This window comes from Homo sapiens, chromosome 17 (assembly GCF_000001405.40).
Source record: "Homo sapiens chromosome 17, GRCh38.p14 Primary Assembly".
Lineage (NCBI taxonomy): Eukaryota > Metazoa > Chordata > Mammalia > Primates > Hominidae > Homo > Homo sapiens.
In genome coordinates this window covers 39,688,074-39,710,244 of record NC_000017.11, presented here as the reverse complement: position 1 = coordinate 39,710,244, position 22,171 = coordinate 39,688,074, and the positions used below count along the sequence as shown (strand labels likewise).

The 22,171-nt window shown below is 51.2% G+C and overlaps 1 protein-coding gene across 32 annotated transcripts in view, besides 7 other annotated features; it reads right to left on the bottom strand.

Annotated features, from left to right (window-relative positions):
* ERBB2 (erb-b2 receptor tyrosine kinase 2) overlaps positions 1–22,151 on the bottom strand; it is a 40,565-nt gene extending 18,414 nt beyond the window's left edge. For 20 of the 32 annotated variants that reach the window (NM_001382784.1, NM_001382786.1, NM_001382789.1 and 17 more), the window contains exons 1-6: positions 9,934–10,181; positions 3,104–3,255; positions 1,711–1,924; positions 793–927; positions 364–432; positions 44–159 (exon numbers count right to left, since the gene is read on the bottom strand). In NM_001382784.1, the coding sequence (NP_001369713.1) occupies positions 44–159; positions 364–432; positions 793–927; positions 1,711–1,924; positions 3,104–3,255; positions 9,934–10,006 (759 nt within the window). In that variant the 5' untranslated portion in view covers positions 10,007–10,181. Of the gene's footprint in view, positions 1–43; positions 160–363; positions 433–792; positions 1,003–1,710; positions 1,925–3,040; positions 3,256–7,330; positions 7,456–9,933; positions 10,182–10,657; positions 10,709–15,063; positions 15,565–16,919; positions 16,985–21,444; positions 21,550–21,966 lie in introns of those variants that run through there. The other 12 variants (NM_001005862.3, NM_001289938.2, XM_047435590.1 and 9 more) reach the window with 11 other exon arrangements.
* Positions 4,579–5,451: an enhancer, noted in NCBI's record as "H3K27ac-H3K4me1 hESC enhancer chr17:37861047-37861919 (GRCh37/hg19 assembly coordinates)". NCBI's record gives its function as "activates a minimal SCP1, AML or CMV promoter by ChIP-STARR-seq in naive H9 embryonic stem cells {active_cell/tissue: H9 hESC(naive)}" and the evidence as "EXISTENCE:reporter gene assay evidence [ECO:0000049][PMID:30033119]".
* Positions 8,198–8,697: an enhancer, noted in NCBI's record as "H3K4me1 hESC enhancer chr17:37857801-37858300 (GRCh37/hg19 assembly coordinates)". NCBI's record gives its function as "activates a minimal SCP1, AML or CMV promoter by ChIP-STARR-seq in naive H9 embryonic stem cells {active_cell/tissue: H9 hESC(naive)}" and the evidence as "EXISTENCE:reporter gene assay evidence [ECO:0000049][PMID:30033119]".
* Positions 8,698–9,199: an enhancer, noted in NCBI's record as "H3K4me1 hESC enhancer chr17:37857299-37857800 (GRCh37/hg19 assembly coordinates)". NCBI's record gives its function as "activates a minimal SCP1, AML or CMV promoter by ChIP-STARR-seq in naive H9 embryonic stem cells {active_cell/tissue: H9 hESC(naive)}" and the evidence as "EXISTENCE:reporter gene assay evidence [ECO:0000049][PMID:30033119]".
* Positions 13,795–14,089: a silencer, noted in NCBI's record as "tiled region #353; K562 Repressive non-DNase unmatched - State 23:Low". NCBI's record gives its function as "represses a minimal TATA promoter and a strong SV40 promoter by Sharpr-MPRA in K562 cells {active_cell/tissue: K562}" and the evidence as "EXISTENCE:reporter gene assay evidence [ECO:0000049][PMID:27701403]".
* Positions 20,389–21,349: an enhancer, noted in NCBI's record as "OCT4-NANOG-H3K27ac hESC enhancer chr17:37845149-37846109 (GRCh37/hg19 assembly coordinates)". NCBI's record gives its function as "activates a minimal SCP1, AML or CMV promoter by ChIP-STARR-seq in naive and primed H9 embryonic stem cells {active_cell/tissue: H9 hESC(naive and primed)}" and the evidence as "EXISTENCE:reporter gene assay evidence [ECO:0000049][PMID:30033119]".
* Positions 20,815–21,109: a silencer, noted in NCBI's record as "tiled region #544; K562 Repressive non-DNase unmatched - State 1:Tss". NCBI's record gives its function as "represses a minimal TATA promoter and a strong SV40 promoter by Sharpr-MPRA in K562 cells {active_cell/tissue: K562}" and the evidence as "EXISTENCE:reporter gene assay evidence [ECO:0000049][PMID:27701403]".
* Positions 22,060–22,169: an enhancer, noted in NCBI's record as "active region_12103". NCBI's record gives its function as "activates an Ori minimal core promoter by ATAC-STARR-seq in GM12878 lymphoblastoid cells {active_cell/tissue: GM12878}" and the evidence as "EXISTENCE:reporter gene assay evidence [ECO:0000049][PMID:35858748]".

Genomic DNA, 22,171 nt, shown 5'->3' with positions numbered 1-22,171 from the left:
CCTGGGGGGTAGAGCACATTGGGCACAAAGCAGAGGCACATACCAGGCAGTCAGAGTGCTTGGGGCCCGTGCAGCCGGCAGCACACTGCTCATGGCAGCAGTCAGTGGGCAGTGGCCCCTTGCAGCGGGCACAGCCACCGGCACAGACAGTGCGCGTCACTGTTGGGCAAAGGGCAGGATGAGGGCTGAGTGGCGCCCTGGGCACCAGACCCTCATCAGCATCACCTTCTAGGGAGACTACCTGGCCCAGGGGAGACATCCCAAGCCTGTTATCCCACCCCTCCCATGTCACCTGTATGACACCTGCATTCCACCCGGCCCCAGCCCTCCCCTTCCCTGACTCCAGGCCTCCCTGAGACTCACGGCTCTGACAATCCTCAGAACTCTCTCCCCAGCAGCGGGAGCCCTTACACATCGGAGAACAGGGGTGGCCTGAGGACAGAACCAGAGACAGGCAGTGAGAGAGATGTCTAACAGCGAGAGGACGGGTTAGTAACAGAGAGAGGCACAAACAGCAGCAGAGGCCACGAGGCCAACTGCACAGCAAGGGAGGGACCCAGACAGGCTGAGAGGCCCCCAAACCAGAGGCACAACCTATAAGCAGAGGGAGACAAGACAGAGAACCCCAGAGATGAAGAGGCACAGGGAGATGGCAGGAGGGACAGAGAGGGAGGAAATGGGTGGTGTAGGCGGCTGGGGCAGTGGCGGGCAGGCACTGGGTTGTAAGTTGGGAGTTTGCGGCTGGGGTCAGGCTGTCTGAGAGAAGAGGCAGCAGGGAGGGGCATGGCTTACAGGCCCGAGAGCGGTTGGTGTCTATCAGTGTGAGAGCCAGCTGGTTGTTCTTGTGGAAGATGTCCTTCCACAAAATCGTGTCCTGGTAGCAGAGCTGGGGGTTCCGCTGGATCAAGACCCCTCCTTTCAAGATCTCTGTGGGGTGAGCAATGATCAGAGGACCCTTTCCCCTTCTGTCACCTTCTGCTTCCCTTGGGGCCCTCCTGCCTTCTAAAAGAGGAGCAGGCCTTTTAAACAACCCCCAGATTCCCCAGGGAGGAGAGAAAGCTATCTTTACCGTCTTTGAGTCCCACCACCACCACACCCGCAACAAGAACAAAGCGAGAGCCAGGGAGGAGTGAGTTGTCCATGCTAGGTCCAGATGCTCATGTGGACCGCAGCTCTCTCCTTCCTTCTCACCTCTACTCTGGGCATGCTGCTTGGTGGTTAAGAGACTGTGGAGTCTGAAACTCAGCCCCATCACTCACTAGCTGTGTAACTTTTGGCCCTTATATCTGCAAGCCTCAGTTTTCTCATATGTAGAATGAGAATAACACTGATTTTTTCCTGACAGGACTGCAGCGTGACTGAAATGGGCCATGCGGGCAAAGCACCTGGCACCCAGACTCTGGGGCAGAGTCGGCTCCAGGGCCAGCAAATAGTTACATAGGTTGTTCACTGTACACTTCACTCAGCCAAGTGGGGGCAAAAACCCAGCCTGCATTCTCACGATTGAATTATATGTGCTGACGCAAGCTACAACTTCCCAGGAAGAAGGGGAATCTTTTTCCAATCTTCTGAGGGCGTCTTCCCGGGCTCTGCCTGCGTCTGCCCAGAAGGGACACCATTTCTAATGCACACAAAGCCTCCCCCTGGTTAGCAGTGGCCCTGGTCAGCTCTGAATAACCAAGAGAAGGTTTCAATGACGGTGAAGGCCACCTGTGAGGCTTCGAAGCTGCAGCTCCCGCAGGCCTCCTGGGGAGGCCCCTGTGACAGGGGTGGTATTGTTCAGCGGGTCTCCATTGTCTAGCACGGCCAGGGCATAGTTGTCCTCAAAGAGCTGGGTGCCTCGCACAATCCGCAGCCTCTGCAGTGGGACCTGCCTCACTTGGTTGTGAGCGATGAGCACGTAGCCCTGCACCTCCTGGATATCCTGGGAGGGGGAAGCAGAGTGGGGCTGAAATAGGAACACTGCCACCCCCCAGGGCCTCCCTGGGGTTCCCCAGTACTTGGAGATCTTGGGCAAGGCCCCCAGCCACTGAGCAGTCCTGTTCCCGCTTAAATAAAACGATAAAATAGAGATAAAGATCACGCCCTACCTTGCCTCACCAGATTCTTATATGATCAAGAAAGATAATGGTGGGGGGGCATTTCATAAACTCCGAACAGGTGCCCTGCCCTCTCTGTATCTCAGTTTCTTCATCAGTGAAAGCAAAGGCCTGGATGGGATGGCGTCTGCAAATTTTTTTTTTTTGAGACGGAGTTTCACTCTTGTTGCCCAGGCTGGAGTACAATGGCACGATCTAGGCTCACCACAACCTCCGTCTCCCAGGTTCAAGTGATTCTCCTGCCTCAGCCTTCCCAAGTAGCTGGGATTATAGGCATGTGCCACCATGCCTGGCTAATTTTGTATTTTCAGTAGAGACGGGGTTTCTCCATGTTGGTCAGGCTGGTCTCGAACTCCCGACCTCAAGTGATCTGTCCGCCTCGGCCTCCCAAAGTGCTGGGATTACAGGCATGAGCCATCGCACCCGGCCGGCGTCTGCAATTTGACAAACCAAGCATGTGGCCCCATTCCAGGGTCTGTGGACACGATCCAGCAGGTTGGTTTCCACTCTCCCTCCTGTTCATAACCTTTTCACAGACATTTCTCTTCTGAGCTTCACAACTGCTCCCAATATACAGATAGGGAAACTGAGACCCAGTGAAGCTAAGGGGGTGTAGGCCACATTCATAGGGCTCGTCAGTGGCAGAAGTGGGCCTGTAATCCACCTTTCTCACCAGCCCTTTCTTCTGCTGTAAGTGGGAGAGGGATAGTGGCTGGAGCAGGTGGACAGGGGACATGATCATGCTGGCAAGAGAGCACAAGATTTAGCGGAAACACAGACGCATCCCATCCAGACATGACCTCGGCCAGCCACGTTATAGAGAGAGTCAACTGATTCTGCAGTAAAATGAATGGGGGTTAGATGTTAGAAAGGACTTCCTGGTTGAGAAACCACAACAAGAGAGGAAACAGAAGGGCAGGGCACCTTCTTCTGCCACCCACCTGTAAACAGAGGGCTCAGCCCAGCTGGAGGCAGGGCCTGGCTGGGTTGCCCACGGGCCTCACCTGCAGGAAGGACAGGCTGGCATTGGTGGGCAGGTAGGTGAGTTCCAGGTTTCCCTGCACCACCTGGCAGCCCTGGTAGAGGTGGCGGAGCATGTCCAGGTGGGTCTCGGGACTGGCAGGGAGCCGCAGCTTCATGTCTGTGCCGGTGCACACTGGCAGGAGAGAGCAGATGGGTCAGAGGACACTGGCGGGGGACCTTCTCAGACCTGGCCACCCCATCCAAACTCACTCCAAGTCATGCCACCTCAGACAGGGAGAAGCCTGACTGAAGGACCCCTCCGCCCATGTCCCTTGCACACTGCAGGTTTAACAGCAGGAGAAAGCTTGCGTGCTTGGGAAGTAGAGGGATTTCAGGGGAAAGGCTTCTTCTGACTAGGCCCACCCTGTGCATTCAGAGGCTGCCCCAGCGTGCCAGCCCTGGGGAGCTCGCCCGCCAGTACAGGGTGTTGGCTGGCAAAGAAAGGCTTCCTTTGTCCCAAAGGCACAACTCAGGGCAAAGGGGTAAAAATCCCCCAAGAGAGGCGATGACGAATCATGAATCTTCTGGATACCCCCTGCCCCTCTCCCAAGCAAACAAACTCGGTGCATTCTCCCTATGCCATTCCAGCACACCCACATGCCAACCTCTTGGCAAGGGATCCACACCCCCGTAATGCCACCCAGAGAGTGGGGAAGGAGGGTCAGCTGGAGTTGCAGCTGAGGCATGGGACAACCGGGGCTCTGGTCATTGCAGAGACCTCTGGGAGTCCCCCATGAAGAGAAAAGGAGCGTCAGATTCCAGTTGTGGGCATCTGGACCCAGGCTGCAGATCCCAGGCCAGGGTGAAGCATGCGCCAAAGGTTCCTGCGCTGGCACCCTCACCCTGGCCACCTCCTCAGGGCAAGACTCCAGAACCAGCTGGCAGAATGTGTGCCACGAAACTGCTGCCACAAAGGCACTACGTCAGCCCTGCATACCTGCCCAGCGCGAGCCATCAGCCATGGGGCATAGGGCTGAACTGCCACACCTGGCCCACTTGGACCCCAGCCTGGTATCCCTGAGACCAGAAATGCCCACTAAGGTCAGGAATACTAGAGGAGGTAAAGCACCCCTGGTGAGGGGCGCCGGGGTAGCAGCTCACACCAGGCCTGCCAGTGAGGGGAGATTAAAGTGCCCAGTTGAACTTGTTTTTCTGCTCTGGTGAGATGAATCACCTGGCGTGTCTTGCCCAGGAGATCGGAAGGGTGGGGGCAGAGGGCACCCTCAGGCCCACAGGTGCCTGAGCTGCCCAGAATTCCTGCCGGTCACTGCTCCGCCTCCCACAGGCTACATGCAGATTCAGGGACAGCACAAGGGCTGGCTTGGGGTCTGACACCAGAGGCACTGCTCTCCCAGCAAGTTGGAGCCTAAGGTCAAATCCTAGGGGGTAATACGAGGTACCCCCTGCCTTCAGATTGCTGGGAGAGGCTGGTAGGGCAAGCCCCCAGGTTCCCTGCCTGGGCCAGTGGCCAGTGGCCACAAACTGGTGGTCTCCTAGTGATACTCAGAATGGCCTCTATTCCCACCTCTCTAGGCAGATAAGGACAAAGAGGGAGGAACAGGAGGGAGGAACAGAAATAGAACTCAAGGGTCCATGTCCCTGAGGGAGGCCTCCCCACTCCATGCCTCACCCACTTGCACCCCCTCCTCTTCCCCACACTTCCTCCCCCAACAGACTCCCAAGAGAAACAGGAGCTGGGGGTGGCAGGCCAGGCCCAAAATAACGCCCTGCTGCCAGGACCTCCCCCGGCCTCAGCCCTTCAGCTGCTTTATAGACACAGCTGTCTGCAGGCCCAGACCCCAGGCCCTGGCCCAAGCCCAGGGTCTCCACAGGGCTGGGGCAGGGTCCGACTCCACCCCCTGTAGCCCTTTTCAAGGGATACCAGCTGTGGCCGCCAGGCAATAGGAAAACAACAACAATGGGGAGTGGGGGCCGCCACAGTAACTGAGCTGAGCACCTACTGTGTGCCTGGCAGGCACTCTCGGTGGATCTGCATAACATGCTCCAGAGACTGGGGCTGCAACCTCCATCTTGCAAAGAAGACAACTGAGGCTGGCAGGGGTTAGCTCTCGCCTCATAAAGCTTGTGAGCAACAGGCAGGACTGGAACTCAGGCTGGCCTGCCTTCAGATCCCACATTCCTTCCACTAGGCCTAACTGCACACACACAAATCCACCCCACACCCCACGCCAACATAAATACACACTAATTCTCCCAATGCCACCGATAAACACCACAGGCTCTACGGAGGGCAGGGTGGCTGGGCTGGGTTGGGCTGGAGGGTCAGAACGGGTGGTAGCCCCACCCCACTAGTGAGTTTGTTTACCTGATTTGTGGCCAATTTGAGTCTGATTAAGAATCTTAAAGTGTTTGCAGACAGGTGGTAAAATTGGTACCCTGAGAACGGTTCCCAGGGAACTGGAGGCTTGCTGGCTAACACCCCCACCAGCCTACATGAAGTCAAGAAGGTCTTCCTGACACCTCCCTCCCACTCTCCCATCTCCTTACCATTGTCCCCATATCTGCCCTGTCCCATTGGTTTTCTTTTTTTGAGATGGAGTCTCGCCCTGTCGCCAGGCTGGAGTGCAGTGGCGCAATCTCGGCTCACTGCAACCTCTGCCTCCCGGGTTCAAGCAATTCTCCTGCCTCAGCCTCCTCAGTAGCTGGGATTACGGGTGCCTGACACCACACCTGGCTAATTTTTGTATTTTTAGTTGAGGCGGGTTTCACCATGTTGGCCAGGCTGGTCCTGAACTGCTGACCTTGTGATCCGCCCGTCTCGGCCTCCCAAAGTGCTGGGATTACAGGTGTGAGCCACGGCACCTGGTCCCCGTTGATTTCCTGGGGGGTAGGTCCTAATTCTACCCAGGAGTGTCCTTGTCTCCAGGACCCTGCCCCTCAGGAACCCCAACCTCCAATTCTCCAGAGCAAAGACAGTATGAGGCAGGACCAGCCACAGGGAGCGCTAGATAAGTGTCTGCTGAGTGAATGAATGAATGAGTGGATGAATGAAGTCCAGTCACGAGTCTCCGAACAAAAGGGACCAGTTGAGGTCATGGAATCCATCTCTCTGCTCAGAGCTGGTCACAGTCCTTCATGTCTCTCTGGACTCTGGTGGTCAGGACTTGACCCCAGTCCTGAGGTTTCTCTCAGGTGGGTTCTCTCCTCCCCACCAGCTTGCAGCCCCAGCTGCTCCTCTTGCTCACAGCAGAAAAGCCAATACTTCCCTTGGTTTCCATGAATACTACAGTAAAATGACCTGTGTCCCCAAAGCTCAGCTCTCCCAGACCCATAATGTCACAGCCCATTCAAGTGACACTGGGATTCCCCGACCACAAACACCTGGTGTATCAGGCCTGACATCAGACCAGGGCCTGGGCCCAGGGTCTTTAGTTGAGAACCCTAGCTCAGCTGCTCACTGAGTGATCTTGAGCAAGTTCCCAGACCTCCAGGGCAGAAGCTAAATCGGATTCATCTCTATGCCCTGCAGTACCTGCAACTTGGTGAATATTTACTGACCTAAACTTGGCTGTAACAGCTCTTACTCCCTCAGAGGAGGTACATGAGAGTTAAATGAGGTAATGAATTGCGCAGCCATCTGTAAACATGACGAGGCTTTGTAAACAGAACTGGGACAACACAAACATTCGCTAGAATAATTCTCCCACTCCTTGAAAGAGTACACATCCCTTACCCCACCTCGGCTCTCTTCCCAGGGGGAGGATGGGTGGCCAAACATAAGATGGAGATGTCACTCTAGAGGGGCTTCTCACAGGTGGAGGGCAGGGAAGGAATCTCTTTCCAGATCATTCCATCACCCAAGGACAGGCACAACTACCCTGGGCCCCACCCCAGCCCTCCCAGCCGCAGCCCCACACTGGCCCCTCACGCTGACACTTCAGCTGTCTCTCTCACCCACAGCCCTGTGTGTCAACGTGGCCTCTGTCCCCTCCTGCCCGCAGCCCCCTGTCATGCTGGTAGGGCCCAAAAGGAAGACAGGCATTGGCTGGACAGGAAGGGAGAGGACTCTGAAGTCAAGAGGGAACCTCAGGGCCCCCAGCTCAGCTCCACTTTCTACAGCCTAGAGAAGTGGATGGAAAGGTCATTCGCCTGAACAAGAGGAGCGCTTCTCCTCCCATCTGGCCACCTGCCTGCCCCTAAGGCTTTGTTCAACCCATTATTGTTGGCTGGAATAAGACTCTAACCACCTCTTAATGCCTCCTCTTCAGAGTCCAAAAATTCCCTGGACATTACTGGGTAGCTGGGAGCCTTGGATAAGTTGCTTCATTTCTCTGAACTTCCATTTTCTCATCTGTGCACCTACTTCACAGGACTGTCACAGAGATTAAATGAAAGCATGGATAAAAACCTAGCATATAGGAAGTACACCGTACATTTCTTAAAAGTTAAGACAAGACAGGTTCATACAGCAGGAATATGGGTAATCCCAAACCACGAGAAAATTAAACATGCTTTGTGTTTGACTTTGGAATGCCACGTATTTTTTCTTTTTACATTTGATCCCTATCTTTTCAATTGTTTTTTTCTTGACAAATAAAATGAGTACTTTCCCCAAGTATAGTAAAGAGAGGAGGCTGTTGGAAGAATCATACTGGAATTAAAATATGAAGGAGTTCTGCAAGATTAAAAGGATGTATTTGCTGCAATTTGTAAAACCCATACCTCTAAGAAAGGATTTCAGAAAAATCCTGACCCCTCTGGGGCTCCCCCTAGGCCTCCCCTTCCCCCACATTCCTGCCCCAGACCTCACCCCTTGGGTAAAATCTGGGTGCTGGAGGCAGCTGGGTGGTATACTTTTTTTCTGAAACGGAGTCTCACACTGTCACCCAGGCTGGAGAGCATTTGCAATCACAGCTCACTGCAAGCCTCAACTTCCTGGGCTCAGGTGATCCTCCTGCCTCAGCCTCCGGAGTAGCTGGGACTACAGGCACGTGTAATCACATCCAACTAATTTTTGTATTTTTTGTACAGAGTTTTGCCTTGTTGCCCAGGCTGTGCAATGACTTTTTAACTAACTCCTGCACAACACAATCAATAGTGCAGGTTGAGGGGTGAGGACATGAGGAGGCCCCATCCAGAGAACCCAGCCCTCAAATCCAGCTCTGCAGCAACTGCCATTCCCTGATCAACTCCCAGCCCAAGGTGAGGAAGGGCAGCAGCTCAGCCTGACAGCTCAGTATGGCCTCACCCTTCTCATCAGAAGATGAGAGGTGAAGATGCTTGTCTGGGAAACAGGGAGGGCAAGGATGTACTCCCTGGAAGAGAGGAACCTTCTTCCTCAGCAAGAAGGCGTGGCCATAGAAGGCTACCTCCCTCTGTTTATGGCAGATCTGGCCCAGCACCTTAAGGGAGTTCCTGCAGAGGACAGAGTTCAGCCTGTGTCCCCAAGTCAGCAGAGAGACTGCTGTTTGGCAACACAAAGCCCAGACACACAAATACAAAGACCACACAACTGAGGAACACCCTGGCGTAGACCTGCAGAGATAACACGGCCATGCACTCACTCACAGAGGGCCCCTCGGGCAACACACAGCCACGATGACACCCACTCCCTCCCCAGACCCTCTGACCTATGGAGACCACCCACGACTCCCAGAACACTTTCATTTTGTCTCCCCTGCAGCCCAGTGACTCAGGGAGCAGTGTCCCTCATTGCTCCAGGTGCACTCATCCATATAGCGATTTCGAATGCATGGTTGGGGGTCGCACTGCCTGGGGTCCCATCTTGACCCCACCACTTACTAGCTGCTACTCAACCTCTGGACTGCTACTCAGTCCAGAATGCTGGCAGAACTTCCACTATAGGGGTGTTCTAGGATTAAAGGAGAATGCATGCAAAACACCACAAACAGTTCCTGGCAGAGTATACCTGGCCCAGGCTATATGTTAGCTTTTATGATTAATGCACACAGGTGGACAGATGGGTCAGGATACACACTGCCCCCACTCACCCTTCCCCACGCACAGCACCAAGGAAAAGGCAGCAGAACAACGCAGCCCTCCCTAGGCTCCCATCTGGCCTTATTTCTTAGCTTCCTTCTCTGGGAACTCTCCCACTTTACACCCCAAGAAACCCACCCCCACCCCTCCATGGTCCACGCGCTCCAAAAGTCACAGAGCACAGTCCCTAAGCTGGCCCCAAGAATCTGTTCAAAGCAAACGTCTCCCCCGCCCCCAACCCAGACCCCAGCAAGAGGCCACCCTCCGGGCCACCCTTTCCTCCCCGGCTCTGGTTGGGACAGGTTGCTATGCCACCCTCCACTCCACCACACACACACACACCCGACCCCGCCAGAAGCAGGAGCAACCAAACCAAAATCGTCTGAAGGGGAGCGGGGAGGGGCTGGAGGAGGGGCAGGGCAGAGGACCCCCCCAAGGAATCCAGCCCAGGCCAGTCCGGAGGCGGAGGCTGCCAACTGGAAAGGCTTTGAGAAAGCTTGAGGGGGCTCAAGAAGGGGGGAAACGCGCGCGCGCGCTCTACGCAATACACCCTTTGCGGGAAAACTTTCTGAACAATTTCAGAGAACTTCTTTGACAAGTTCCCGGAGCCCCTCGGAGCCTGGAAAGCGCCAGTCTCTTGGATGGGCCATCTCGAGCCGCTGCCGTGTAACTGCCCCCTCCCGCCCGAGGGCCCCAGGGCCCGGCTGCCCTGAGCGTCTCGACTGTCCACAACTTCGGGATAGGAGAGCTCGTCCGGGCCCCTCTGGCCCCGCCGGCCGCGGGACCTCGGCGGGGCATCCACAGGGCAGGGTCCCGCCGCTGCTCCGTCCCCTCCCCACACCAGACCCACCTTGGGTGCTCGCGGCTCCGGGGGGCAAGAGGGCGAGGAGGAGCCCCCAGCGGCACAAGGCCGCCAGCTCCATGGTGCTCACTGCGGCTCCGGCCCCATGGCTCCGGCTGGACCCGGCTGGGAGGGCGCGGGGCGCGGGGTGCTGCGAGGGGTGGGGGCCGGGCGCGCGGCGCAGTAAAGGGCCCCGTGGGAAGGGGCGCGCGGCTGCCCGGGGGGCTCCCCTGGTTTCTCCGGTCCCAATGGAGGGGAATCTCAGCTTCACAACTTCATTCTTATACTTCCTCAAGCAGCCCTCCTCCTCCACCTCCTCCTTCTCCTGTGATTGGGAGCAAGCGCGCTCCCAGCTCGCCCCCTCCAACTGCATTCCAACAAGTCTGGGAGTGGCAACTCCCAGCTTCACTTTCTCCCTCTCTTCGCGCAGGCCTGGGTGCGTCCCTCCTAGCGCCGGGACGCCTGGGTTGCCTGCAGCCGTTCTCACACTTTTCCTCGGAGAATCCCTAAATGCAGAGGCTGGTGACTCTGCCCCCTCCCCCGGAGTCCGGGATAAATTCCCTAGGCTGCCACTCTTAACACCCTTTTAAGTCTCAGGTTTTATCTTAAACTTTCCTGGGGAGCTTGCATCCTACTCCATCCCAAGCCTATTTGTTTTAATATCAAATAATGGTTTTCCCACCACATCCTCTAGTAAAATTGATAGTCAAGGAGGGGGATGTGTTGTGTTTACCTTGTGGCTTCCAGGACCCCCGGGGCATATCTTCTGGAATCTTTGAAGTATCTGAAAAGCATGATCTTAAGAGGGTCTACAAATTTGGGAGGAGACAGTCACATCGAAAGGACTTTTTTTTTTTTTTAAACGAACTTTTGCTCTTGTTGCCCAGGCTGGAGAGCAATGGCGCGATCTCTGCTCACCACAACCTCTGCCTCCCTGGTTCAAGTGATTCTCCTGCCTCAGCCTCCCGAGCAGCTGGGATTACAGGCATGTGCCACCATGACCAGCTAATTTTTTGTATTTTTAGTAAAGACAGGGTTTCTCCACGTTGGTGAGGCTGGTCTTGAACTCCCAACCTCAGGTGATCCTCCCGCCTCAGCCTCCCAAAGTGCTGGAATTACAACCACGAGCAACTGCACCCAGCCCAAAAAGACTTCTATCTCAATTCTTCAAAATGCACCCTTCTTGCTTATTTAAGGAGGCACCCAGCACCCAATGCATTCAAGGTTTCTTCTTTGCCCCTTGCCTTCTATTAGCCTGCTTAATTCCACTTCTCAACCACATTCTATTTGGAGCCCCTGACCCTATTCCTTAGGCCTAGTGGTAGGGGTGGGGATGGAAGGAAGACTTTTTTTTTTTTTTTTAATTTCAACAAGATATTGCATGGGACATATTTATACTAACAAATTATTCATTGTTTATCTGAAATTCAAATTTAACTGGGCCTCCTTATTTTTATGTGCTAAATTTGGCAGTTCTAGTTGGAATGCCCCAGCCAAGAATGCAGCTATACTGGTCAAGAAGGGATCAAAGGCACCTATCAGGGACTGGAGAATGAAGGACACCAGCATCTCTTTCTCTCTTCCCTCCCCCCCATCTCCCACACCTCTTTACAGGTATACACTTGCATTTCTAAACTTGCTTCCATGTGCTGAGCACACTTAAAGCAGGCACCTCTTGTGGGACAGGTTGCTATGCCATCCTAGGGAGTTGAGAAACAGGGGCCTCTGGGACCAAGAGGACCTGGGTTCAAATCTTGAATCTGGCCAGTCGCGGTGGCTCACACCTGTAATTCCAGCACTTTGGGAGGCCGAGGCAGGCAGATCACGAGGTCAGGAGATCGAGACCATCCTGGCTAACACGGTGAAACCCTGTCTCTGCTAAAAATACAAAAAATTAGCCAGGTGTGGTGGCGGGTGCCTGTAGTCCCAGCTACTCAGGAGGCTGAGGCAGGAGAATGGCGTGAACCTGGGAGGCAGAGCTTGCAGTGAGCTGAGATTGCGCCTCTGCACTCCAGCCTGGGAGACAGAGTGAGACTCCGTGTCAAAAAAAAAAAAAAAAATCTTGACTCTATTCCATATCAGTCATGTCACCTTGGGCAAGTGACTGAGCATCTCTGGTCTCAGTTGGCTCATCTGTAAAACAGCATCTGACATACTATGCTGGGGTTAAAGGAGATAATGCTCTGGAAGCACTCAGCGCAATACTTGGCACATAATAATTGCTCAATAAATGGTCCCAGATTTAGTTATACTGGGGCAGATCTAGGTTTTGTGGGGCCTGAAGCTTATATAATTTGGGAAACTCTCTTTAAGAAAGTAATACAAAGTTGGCCGAGTATGGCGGCTCATGCCTGTAATCCCAGCACTTTGGGAGGCCAAGACAGGCAGATCACGAGGTCAGGAGTTCGAGACCAGCCTGGCCAACATGACAAAACCCCATCTCTACTAAAAGTACAAAAATTAACTAGGTGTGGTGGCAGGCACCTGTAATCCCAGCTACTCGGGAGGCTGAGGCAGGAGAATTGCTTGAACTCAGAGGGCAGAGGTTGCAGTGAGCTGAGATCTTGCCACTGCACTCCAGCCTGGGTGACAGAGTAAGACTCCATTGAAAGAAAGAAAGAGAGCAAGAGAGAGAAAGGAATTGAACAGAAAAAGACCCTAGCACGGCTGGGTGCGGTGGCTCATGCCTGTAATTGCAGCACTTTGGGAGGCCAAGGCAGGTGGATCACCTGAGGTCGGGAGTTTGGTACCAGCCTGACCAACATGGAGAAACCCTGTCTCTACTAAAAACACAAAATTAGCCGGGCATGGTGGCGCATGCCTGTAATCCCAGCTACTCGGGAAGGCTGAGGCAGGTGAATCGCTTGAACCTGGGAAGCGGAGGTTGCGGTGAGCCAAGATCGCGCCATTGTACTCCAGCCTGGGCAACAAGAGCGAAACTCTGTCTCAAAAAAAAAAAAAAAAAACAAAACAAAAAAACAACCCTAGCACATTCATATAGTAAGGATAAGGTGGAGTTTTGTACAGGTATCCAGAGTGATAATGTAAAATTAACTTATTCCTTGGACCGCTGTCACAAACATTCGAGAAATATTGCTGTGTATGGAACACAGCAGCCCTTCTGGATGGCCATCAATATCCCTATTTTCTCTTGAGCTGGTGTTAGGGTTAGGGTGAGGATCAGGGGAACTGAGGTAAGCAATTTGCCCAGGATGTCTTAGGGCTAGAGAGAAAAGTTGGGCATGTATCAAAACTGACCCCTTACTCTCACCCCATCATCCAGCCCAGGACCTGGTCAACCTGCCTCTCAGTCCTGCAGCTTACAGCCCTGCGGGAAGAGGATGCGCTGACCTGGCTCCAGGAGTCACTGGTTCATCACACCACACCTTGGAGGGCTTGCACCTGGATGAGTGTGCAGGCAGCCTTAGAGGCCATCGGGATGTTAGGATCAGGGTTAGAGGTGTCCTTTCTCCCCAGGCCCCACCCCTGCCCTGCTGTTGTGTCCGGAAAGGTTAGTCCAGTCAGGAAAGCTACTGTGGACGCCATGCTTCATTGGACCCTACTCTGTGCCACTCTGACCTACAGCCACGTTCCTCAGAACACTGAGTCCCCAAGACTCCAGAGGAGGCAGGTGTTATCATTCCCCATTTTGCAGAAGAGGAACCTTGAGCCTTGAGATTCCACGAGCTAAAGGAACTTTCCCAAGGTCACAGAGCTGAGCTGGGAACTGAGCCATGGCAGATTTGGCTTCACCCATTACCCTCAAGAGCCCCAGTCAAGGGTACCAAGAGGGGAGACAGAGGAAAGAAGTCCAGGTAACTGTAGGTCCCTCCCTCTACAAAGATCCTGCTTCCCCCCTTCACTCTCCACCCCCCCGCCCAAGCAAACCCATCCTCTCTGCATCCCAAATCCCAGGAAGAAACCCGGACTGGCAGACAATGCCCAGTCCCGGTGGGCGGTAGAGAGGGTGGAGCAAGCTGGAGAGGGGGCTGGAGTGGGGATGGGGGGAGGAGCTGGGGTCAGAACTCACGCCCTGGGGAGGAGGCTCGAGAGGGGCCGAGCCTCTGAAAAAGAATGAGCCCATTCAGAGCTGGGAAGCCAGAGGAAAAAACCTCGTCTGGTGTCTGACAAGAGGAGAGGAAGGGGGGCAGGGGTGGGCGCTGCTGATTCGATTTCCTCCTTAACTGTCCCTCCAGCAGGGCCTGGCAGGAGAGCCCAGGAAAGAGGATGTCTGAGGGACAAAGACAGCGAGGGGGACCCTCAGGGAAGGGAAAGGGGTGCTGGTGAGAGGGGTCTAGCTAGGGGGCTGGGGAGAGGGAGTGGGAACAGAGTGGGGCTGACTGCGGGACAGAGGGCAGCAAACTCAGATCAGGGCAGATGCGTGTGTTTTGCCCAAGACCCCAGCCTGTGGGCAGTGGAGTGACCACTGACACTGAAGAGGCAGGACAGGGCTCTAGCTTCCGAGGGTGACCTCTAAGTCAACAGGCTGGGGCTGCAACCAGCGGCCTGTGAAATGCCAGTCAATCATTGACCAGCCATGGAGACTGGGGGGCACAGGAGACGTGTGTGTGTGTGTGTGTGTGTGTGTGTGTGTGTGTGTGTGTGTGTGTGTGTGTATGCATGCACCAAAGTCTCCTCCCTCTACCTACTTCACCAGCCAGCTTGGGGTCAGAGGACTGAAAACAAACAGAAATCGGGAGGAGTCGTCTGGTCCACAGTCCGATGTCCAGGCCACAAACTGAGGCCTACCCCACAGTGCCTTGAGGCTGAGGCACAGGTTGCTGGGGAAGTGACTGTAGGAATTAGTTCATTGGAAAGAGTTCCTCAGAGTAGGCTTGAGGTGTCCCTTTGGGCCAAAGGAGGATAACTTAGAAGCTTCTGATAGGAAAATTGGTCCTTCCTAGGGGTGGCCCTTGATGAGCACTTGTATCCTAACCATGGGGAGGCCACTCCCTGAGCCCAGGATTAGCCCTAGTCTCCAGGACAGCAAAGGGGCAGAGCCAAGCTTGCCAGACACTCTGACCCTGGGCCCCTCTTACCCACATCTCAGGAATGCAGGCCCAGGCCCCAGGAGTAGCTTTTATCTCTCCCCAGGCTGCTCTGCTGAAACAAAAAGCACTCTTCTGTCCTGCGACTCACCTCACTTTTGTGCATGTCCACAACAGTACATGTCACTCTCATCACTGCCTGCGCAGGCATGGCTGCCAGGGTCTGAGTCTCTGTGCTGCACTGCGTTTGTCCTGGCCATTCTACTGGTGCCCCCGTTTTATCTGTGACTCTTTGCTCAGGGAGTAGCTTTGCATGTGGTCTTGAATATAGCTTTGCTTTGCCACCTGAAATAGAAGAGTTGGACAGAATGGTTCCTGGTCACAATATTTTCGGATTTGGTATAGGGACAGTGACCCCTTCAACCCCCATACTTGTCCCTTGAAAGCCCCACTGAGCCATCCTTCTCCTGGATTCTGGATTCCTTGTTTCAGGAGCACTAAGTCTTCCTGCCCGCTTCATTCCACTGATCCACTGGGCCTTTCAGGACATCACTTGCTCACTCGACTTGCTGCTGGAGGTATAGACCACTGGGGTATGAATGAGGGCATTCTTGCCTCTGACTTTTGGTCCAAGGAAGAGGAGACGAGGAACCTTTGAGAAGCATACAACTATGGCAATCACAAAGTCTTGATTTCAGGGGACAATTCGTTTCTGATGGTTTCATTCACTGAACCCACCTGGTTGATTCTTCTCTTCCTTTGCCCTTCAAATCCAATCATTCTTTAAGATCTATCAACTCCTCTTTTTGATACATTTATGCTTATTCTACCTCCATCACCAGCTAGTCTGAGTCTCTATCATTTCTCCTTTGGGCTAAAGCACCAGACTTTGATCACTACCCCTCCACCAGTGCTACTTTTGACACCCTGCAATTCTCCCCGCAGCAACAGCAGCCAAAGTAAATGTTTTATTATTATTTATTTTATTTTATATATACACATATATATGTGTGTGTGTATATATATATACACATATATATGTGTATATATATATATATACACACATATATATATATATATATATATATATATATATATATATATATTTTTTTTTTTTTTTTTTTTTTTTTTTTTTTTTTCTGAGACAGAGTCTCACTGTCACCCAGGCTGGAGCGCAGTGGCATGATGTCGGCTCACTGCAACCTCCGTGTCCCGGATTCGAGTGATTCTCCTGCCTCAGCCTTCCGAGTAGCTGGTATTACTGGGATTATAGCATGCACCACCACATCCAGCTAATTTTTGTATTTTTGATAGAGGCAGCGTTTCTCCGTGTTGGCCAGGCTGGTCTCAAACTCCTGACCTCAGGTGATCTGCCCACCTCGGCCTCCCAAAGTGCTGGGATTATGGGCATGAGCCACTGTGCCCGGCCTATTTATTTTTTAATTGAGACTCCTGACCTCAGGTGATCTGTCCACCTTGGCCTCCCAAAGTGCTGGGATTACAGGCATGAGCCACCACACCCAGCCCTATTATTATTATTATTATTATTATTATTATTATTATTATTTTATTTTCGAGATGGAGTCTCGCTCTGTTGTCCAGGCTGGAATGCAACGGTGCAATCTCAGCTCACTGCAACCTCTGCCTCCCGGGTTCAAGCAATTCTCCTGCCTCAGCCTCCTGAGTAGCTGGGATTACAGAAGCGCACCACCATGCCTGGCTAATTTTTGTATTTTTAGTAGAGGATTGCTTTAGCCCAGAAGTTTTTGGCTGCAGTGAGCCATGATCACACCACGGCATTCCAGGCTGGGCGACAGAGGGAGACCTTGTCACAAAACAAAAAAAACTAATAGTCTACTGTTTACCAGAATACTTATCAATAGCAAACAGTCCATTTACACACATTTTGTATGTGATATGTGTTATATACTGTATTTTTACAATAAAGGAAGCTAGAGAAAAGAAAATGCTACTAAGAAAATCATAAGTAAGAAAAAACATATTTACCATTCATTAAGTGGAAGTGGATCATCACAAAGGTTTTCATCCTCATCATCTTCACATTGAGTAGGCTGAGGAGGGGGAAGAGAAAGGAAAAGAGATGGGGTTGGTCTTGCTATTTTGGGGGTGGCAGAGGTGGAAGAAATGTGAGTATAAATGGACCCGTGCAATTCAAACCTGTGTTGTTCAAGGGTCAACTGTATTTAACTCGATGCTTGCTACTGCATGAAATTGTTTTACATTTTTTCTTTGTGTTTTTGTTTTTGTTTTGAGACAGAGACTTGCTCTGTTGCCCAGGCTGGAGTGCAGTGGTACAGTCTTGGCTCACTGCAATCTCTGCCTCCTAGGTTCAAGCAAGTCTCCCACCTCAGCCTCCCAACCAGCTGGGATTACAGGCACTTGCCATCATGCCTGGCTAATTTTTATGTTTTTGTAGAGATGAGTTTTCACCGTTTTGGTCAGGCCGGTCTTGAACTCCTGACCTCAGGTGATCTGCCGCCGGCCTCGGCCTCCTTAAGGGCTGGGATTACAGGCATGAGCCACCACACTCAGCTTTTCTTTGTTTTTAACTGATTATATACACAGACGGTACACACTTTTAAAGGTACAAAAATAAAAAGCGTTCCTGGCCAGGCACGGTGGCTCACGCCTGTAATCCTAGCACTTTGGGAGGCTGAGGCGGACGGATCACCTGAGGTGGGGAGTTCAAGACCAGCCTGACCAACATGGAGAAACCCCATCTTTACTAAAAATACAAAATTAGCCAGGCGTGGAGGCGCATGCCTATAATCCCAGCTACTCAGGAGGCTGAGGCAGCAGAATCGCTTGAACCTGGGAGGCAGAGGTTGCAGTGAGCTAAGATCGCGCCATTGCACTCCAACCTGGGTAACAAGAGCAAAAACTCCGTTTAAAAAAAAAAAAAAAAAGTGTTCCTTACTTCCCTATTGATCAGGCACATAGTCCCACTTCCCACCAGAGGCAAGAACTATTTCCACTTTCTTTTTTATCTTTCTAGATATATTCTCAAAAATAACAACCATAATACTACGCGCATAACACGTACCCTTATTTTTCTTCACATGGGGTACTGTATATAAGTGTATAGGTGTACATACACATGCATACACACACACATATTTTGTTCTGCACTGTGCACTTGATACTTATCAAAAATATTTGGCCAGGTGTGATGGCTCATGCCTATAATCCCAGCACTTTGGGAGGCTGAGACAGGTGGATCACCTGAGGTCGGGAGTTCAAGACAGCCTTACCAACATGGTGAAGCCCTGTCTCTACTAAAAAATACAAAAATTAGCCGGATGTGGTGGCACACACCTGTAATCCCAGCTACTCGGGAGGCTGAGACACAAGAGATATATATATATATATATATATATGTATATGTATATGTATATGTATATGTATATATATCTATATCTATATCTATATCTATATCTATATCTATCATGAAGGTTTTACCATGCTAGTACATTACAAATCTGCCCCATTCCTATTAATTTCTGTTCAGCCTTCCATTGTATGGCTCTCCCTCCATTAATATAATTCATTCCCTATTGATGGACATTTAGTTGTTTCCTTTTTCTTCTTGCTATTGAAAACAATGACTAATGCTACCACAAATAACTGTACTTAAACAAATTTGCACTTGTTTAGGTATACTGGAGCTTATGTAGGTATACCTAGGAGTGAAATTCCTGGGTTAGAGGGTATGTGTGTGTGTGTGTGTGTGTGTGTGTATATATATATATATATATTTTTTTTTTTAATGTAGATGGAGTCTCGCTCTGTCACCAGGCTGGAGTGCAGTGGCATAATCCAGGCTCACTGCAACCTCCAACTCCCTGGTTCAAGCAATTCTCCTGCCTCAGCTTCCGGAGTAGCTGGGATTACAGGCACGTGCCACCATGCCCAGCTAATTTTTTTGTATTTTTAGTAGAGATGGGGTTTCACCATGTTGGCTAGGATGGTCTCGATCTCCTGATCTCATGATCCGCCTGCCTTGGCCTCCCACAGTGCTGGGATTACAGATGTGAGCCACCGCACCTGGCTTCAGTCTTTTGTTTGACACTTGTTTATGGCCTGTTTCCCTCCTCTGACCATGAAAAGTACAGTGCCTTGTTCATCACTCTGTTCCCAGAGACTTGCACATGGTAAACTTAATAAACATTTGATGAATAAGGAACCCACATTGTAGACTCTCTACCAATTTTGATCTAAGAACATGGTCAGCTTGCCGTTGAGCCTTTAGCACACTATACTTTTTTTTTTTTTTTTGAAACGGAGTTTTGCTCTTGTTGCCCAGGCTGGAGTGCAATGGCACGATCTCAGGAGTTTCTCCATGTTAGGTCAGGCTGGTCTCGAACTCCTGACCTCAGATGATCCACCTGCCTCGCCCTCCCAAAGTGCTGGGATTACAGGCATGAGCCACTGTGCCTGTCCAGCACACTCTACTATTAACATATGCTTTGTCTTTTTTTTCCCCCATGAGTACAATGGCTGATACACAGGAGGACTCAATAAGCCTGAGTTGAAGGAATGAATTAGTGACTTTTCAGACTGTGGATCACATCTGAAGCCAAATACAAGTTAGGAAGAAGGACAAGCTAAGGAGGCTCAGGGGAGAACTAGGGGCTCCAGGCTAGAAAGTTGGGAAGAGAGGCCAGGTAATCGCCATCTAGAGATTGTTATCTGGGGCTGTGCTGGCAGGGAAATTCTCAAGAGCTGTCCCAGAGAGACAGTACCCCATCTTCCAAGAAGTCAACAGAACAGAAGTCTCTACTCCCACTTCCACCATTAACCTAGGATTGCTTTTTCCATCAGGTATGTAGGCATGGGTTTTCAAGGACCTCTGAAATACTTTAGACCCGAACAAATTTCCATTGTTAGTTCTAAAATATAAGAAAGCTGCGAAAATTAATATTTTATGGCCGTGTGGCATGGCTCACGCCCGTAATCCCAGCACTTTGGGAGGTTGAGGCGGGAGGATCACTCGAGCCCAGGAATTGGAGACCAGTCTAGGCAACATAGCAAGACCGTGTCTCTACAAAAAATTAAAAAAATTAGCAGGGCATAGTGGCGCATGCTGCAGTCCCAGCTACTCAGGAGGCTGAGATGGAAGGATCACTTGAGTCTGGGAGGTTGAGGTTGCAGTGAGTCGTGATCATGCCACTGCACTTCAGTCTAGGTGAAAGAGTGAGAGGCTGTCTGGGAAAAAAAATTTTTTTTAACTAAATGTATATAAATGTAGCAATATGTCAACTATTAACAGCAATTAGATTGAATTATATATATGTATAGTTATTTATAAATCTTATTTAATGTGGGGCGTTACTGCATTTCAGTATGTTTGACATAATATAGGATGAGGCCTTCAAAATTGGAATTTTCTTTTTCTTTTTTTTTTTTTTTTTGAGTTTCGCTCTTGTTGCCCAGGCTGGAGTGCGATGGCGCAATCTTGGCTCACCACAACCTCTGCCTCCCTGGGTTCAAGCGATTCTCCTGCCTCAGCCTCCTGAGTAGCTGGGATTACAGGCATGCACCACCACACCCAACTAATTTTGTATTTTTAGTAGAGATGGGGTTTCTCCATGTTGGTCAGGCTGGTCTCAAACTCCTAACCTCAGGTGATCCGTCCGCCTCGGCCTCCCAAAGTGCTGGGATTACAGGCGTGAGCCACCACCCCCAGCCTTACTTAGGAATTTTCTAAAGGGGAGACTCCCTATTTTGTCAGGATTTCATCCTCTTTAATCCTAAATGTCCATCTTTATATGAGGATCCTCATAAAAAGACTCATCCCAGAGTCACAGAAAGGACAAAATGAAATGAAAAAAGAAAAAAAAACAGTATTGTAAAAGAACTAATCTGTAAGATGCAAAGTAGTATTAGCACTGGATTTCCGGTCAGCTCCTGGAGGGCTAAGGGGTTGTTTTGTTCATTTCAGCTTCTCAGTCAGTATCAGTTGGGTGGTCAACTCCAGGGGACACTATTCATGTTATATTTAACTGGAAGAATTTGCCATTCACAGAAAAGGCAATGTGAATGCTGCTCCCCAGAGCACCATTCACAGAAAATGCAATGTGAATGGTGCCTCCTGGAGATTTTGCCTTGCTTAGCAAGGTGCTAGAGCTAAGGACTCAGAAATGTTTGTTAAGTGAGTGAATGGAATCCCAGGCTACTTCTTACTCATTCCAACCCCCAGGACGAAAAAGAAAAGTTGACAAGGGGTGAGGAGAGTGGGGGAGGAGAAAGGGTGATCCTTAGCTACAAGGCTTCTATGAGATTGGGTGTGGGTCGGTGCTGATGGGAGTGCAGGGGAGGTGAGCAGGGAGAGGATACTAAAGCAAGCGTCCTGTTCCCAGGGTTCCTAATTTTCCTAGAAATATTACTTCTCTCCGATCTCAGTGCAGAACCATACTGATGATTTTACAGCCCTGGATTTGTCAAGTTCTTATGTTGATGTATGCTGTTCATTCATTAAACAGAAGAACAAACAAACGCAGTTAGCGCCTACCATAAGCCAAATTCTGTGCTGGAGGTAGAGTGGTGAACAGGACAGCAAAGGTTCTACCCCGCATGGGGAAGCAATCACCCTCGGGAGGTGGTACTTCAATTGCGACTAGAAGAAAAAAGAAGAGTGAGTGATTCAGACCAGGCCAGGCAGTCAGGAAGCTTGAGGGACATAGCCCTCTGAAGCGGGTCTGGAGCAAGGGAGTGAGGGAGACCAGTGGACAGGGGCCAAATCAGGCAGGGTTTGTGGAGACTGTATTTTACCCAAGGTAATTGGGAGCCAGTAAATAATTTTAAGAAAAAAAAAGTGATATGGGCAAATTTTAATTTTTCAAAATGGAGCGCAGGTTGGAAGAGGCAAAAGTAGAGGCAGGGAGAGCCATTAAGAAGCTACTGCGGCTGTCTTGGCGACACATGATGGTGTCTTTAACCAGGGTGGTGCCAGAAGAGATGGAGAGAAGTGGATAGTTACAGGTACGTTTAGGAAGTAAAATCCGACAGGGGTGGTGACAGTAAACAGCCCTACCTCAAAAAAGATCATGGAAAACACTTCAGTTTGCTCATTAACCCATCAGGCGTCCGCCTTCCCTTAACCCTATCGCCTCGATATATGGACACAGCAGGGGGACGAGGGGCGGGGCAGGCGCCCACAAAAATCCGGGAACTTTAATTTAAACTGTGTGGACTTCAGCGGAGAGTAGAATAAAGAACACAGGAACTTCCGGTTACTC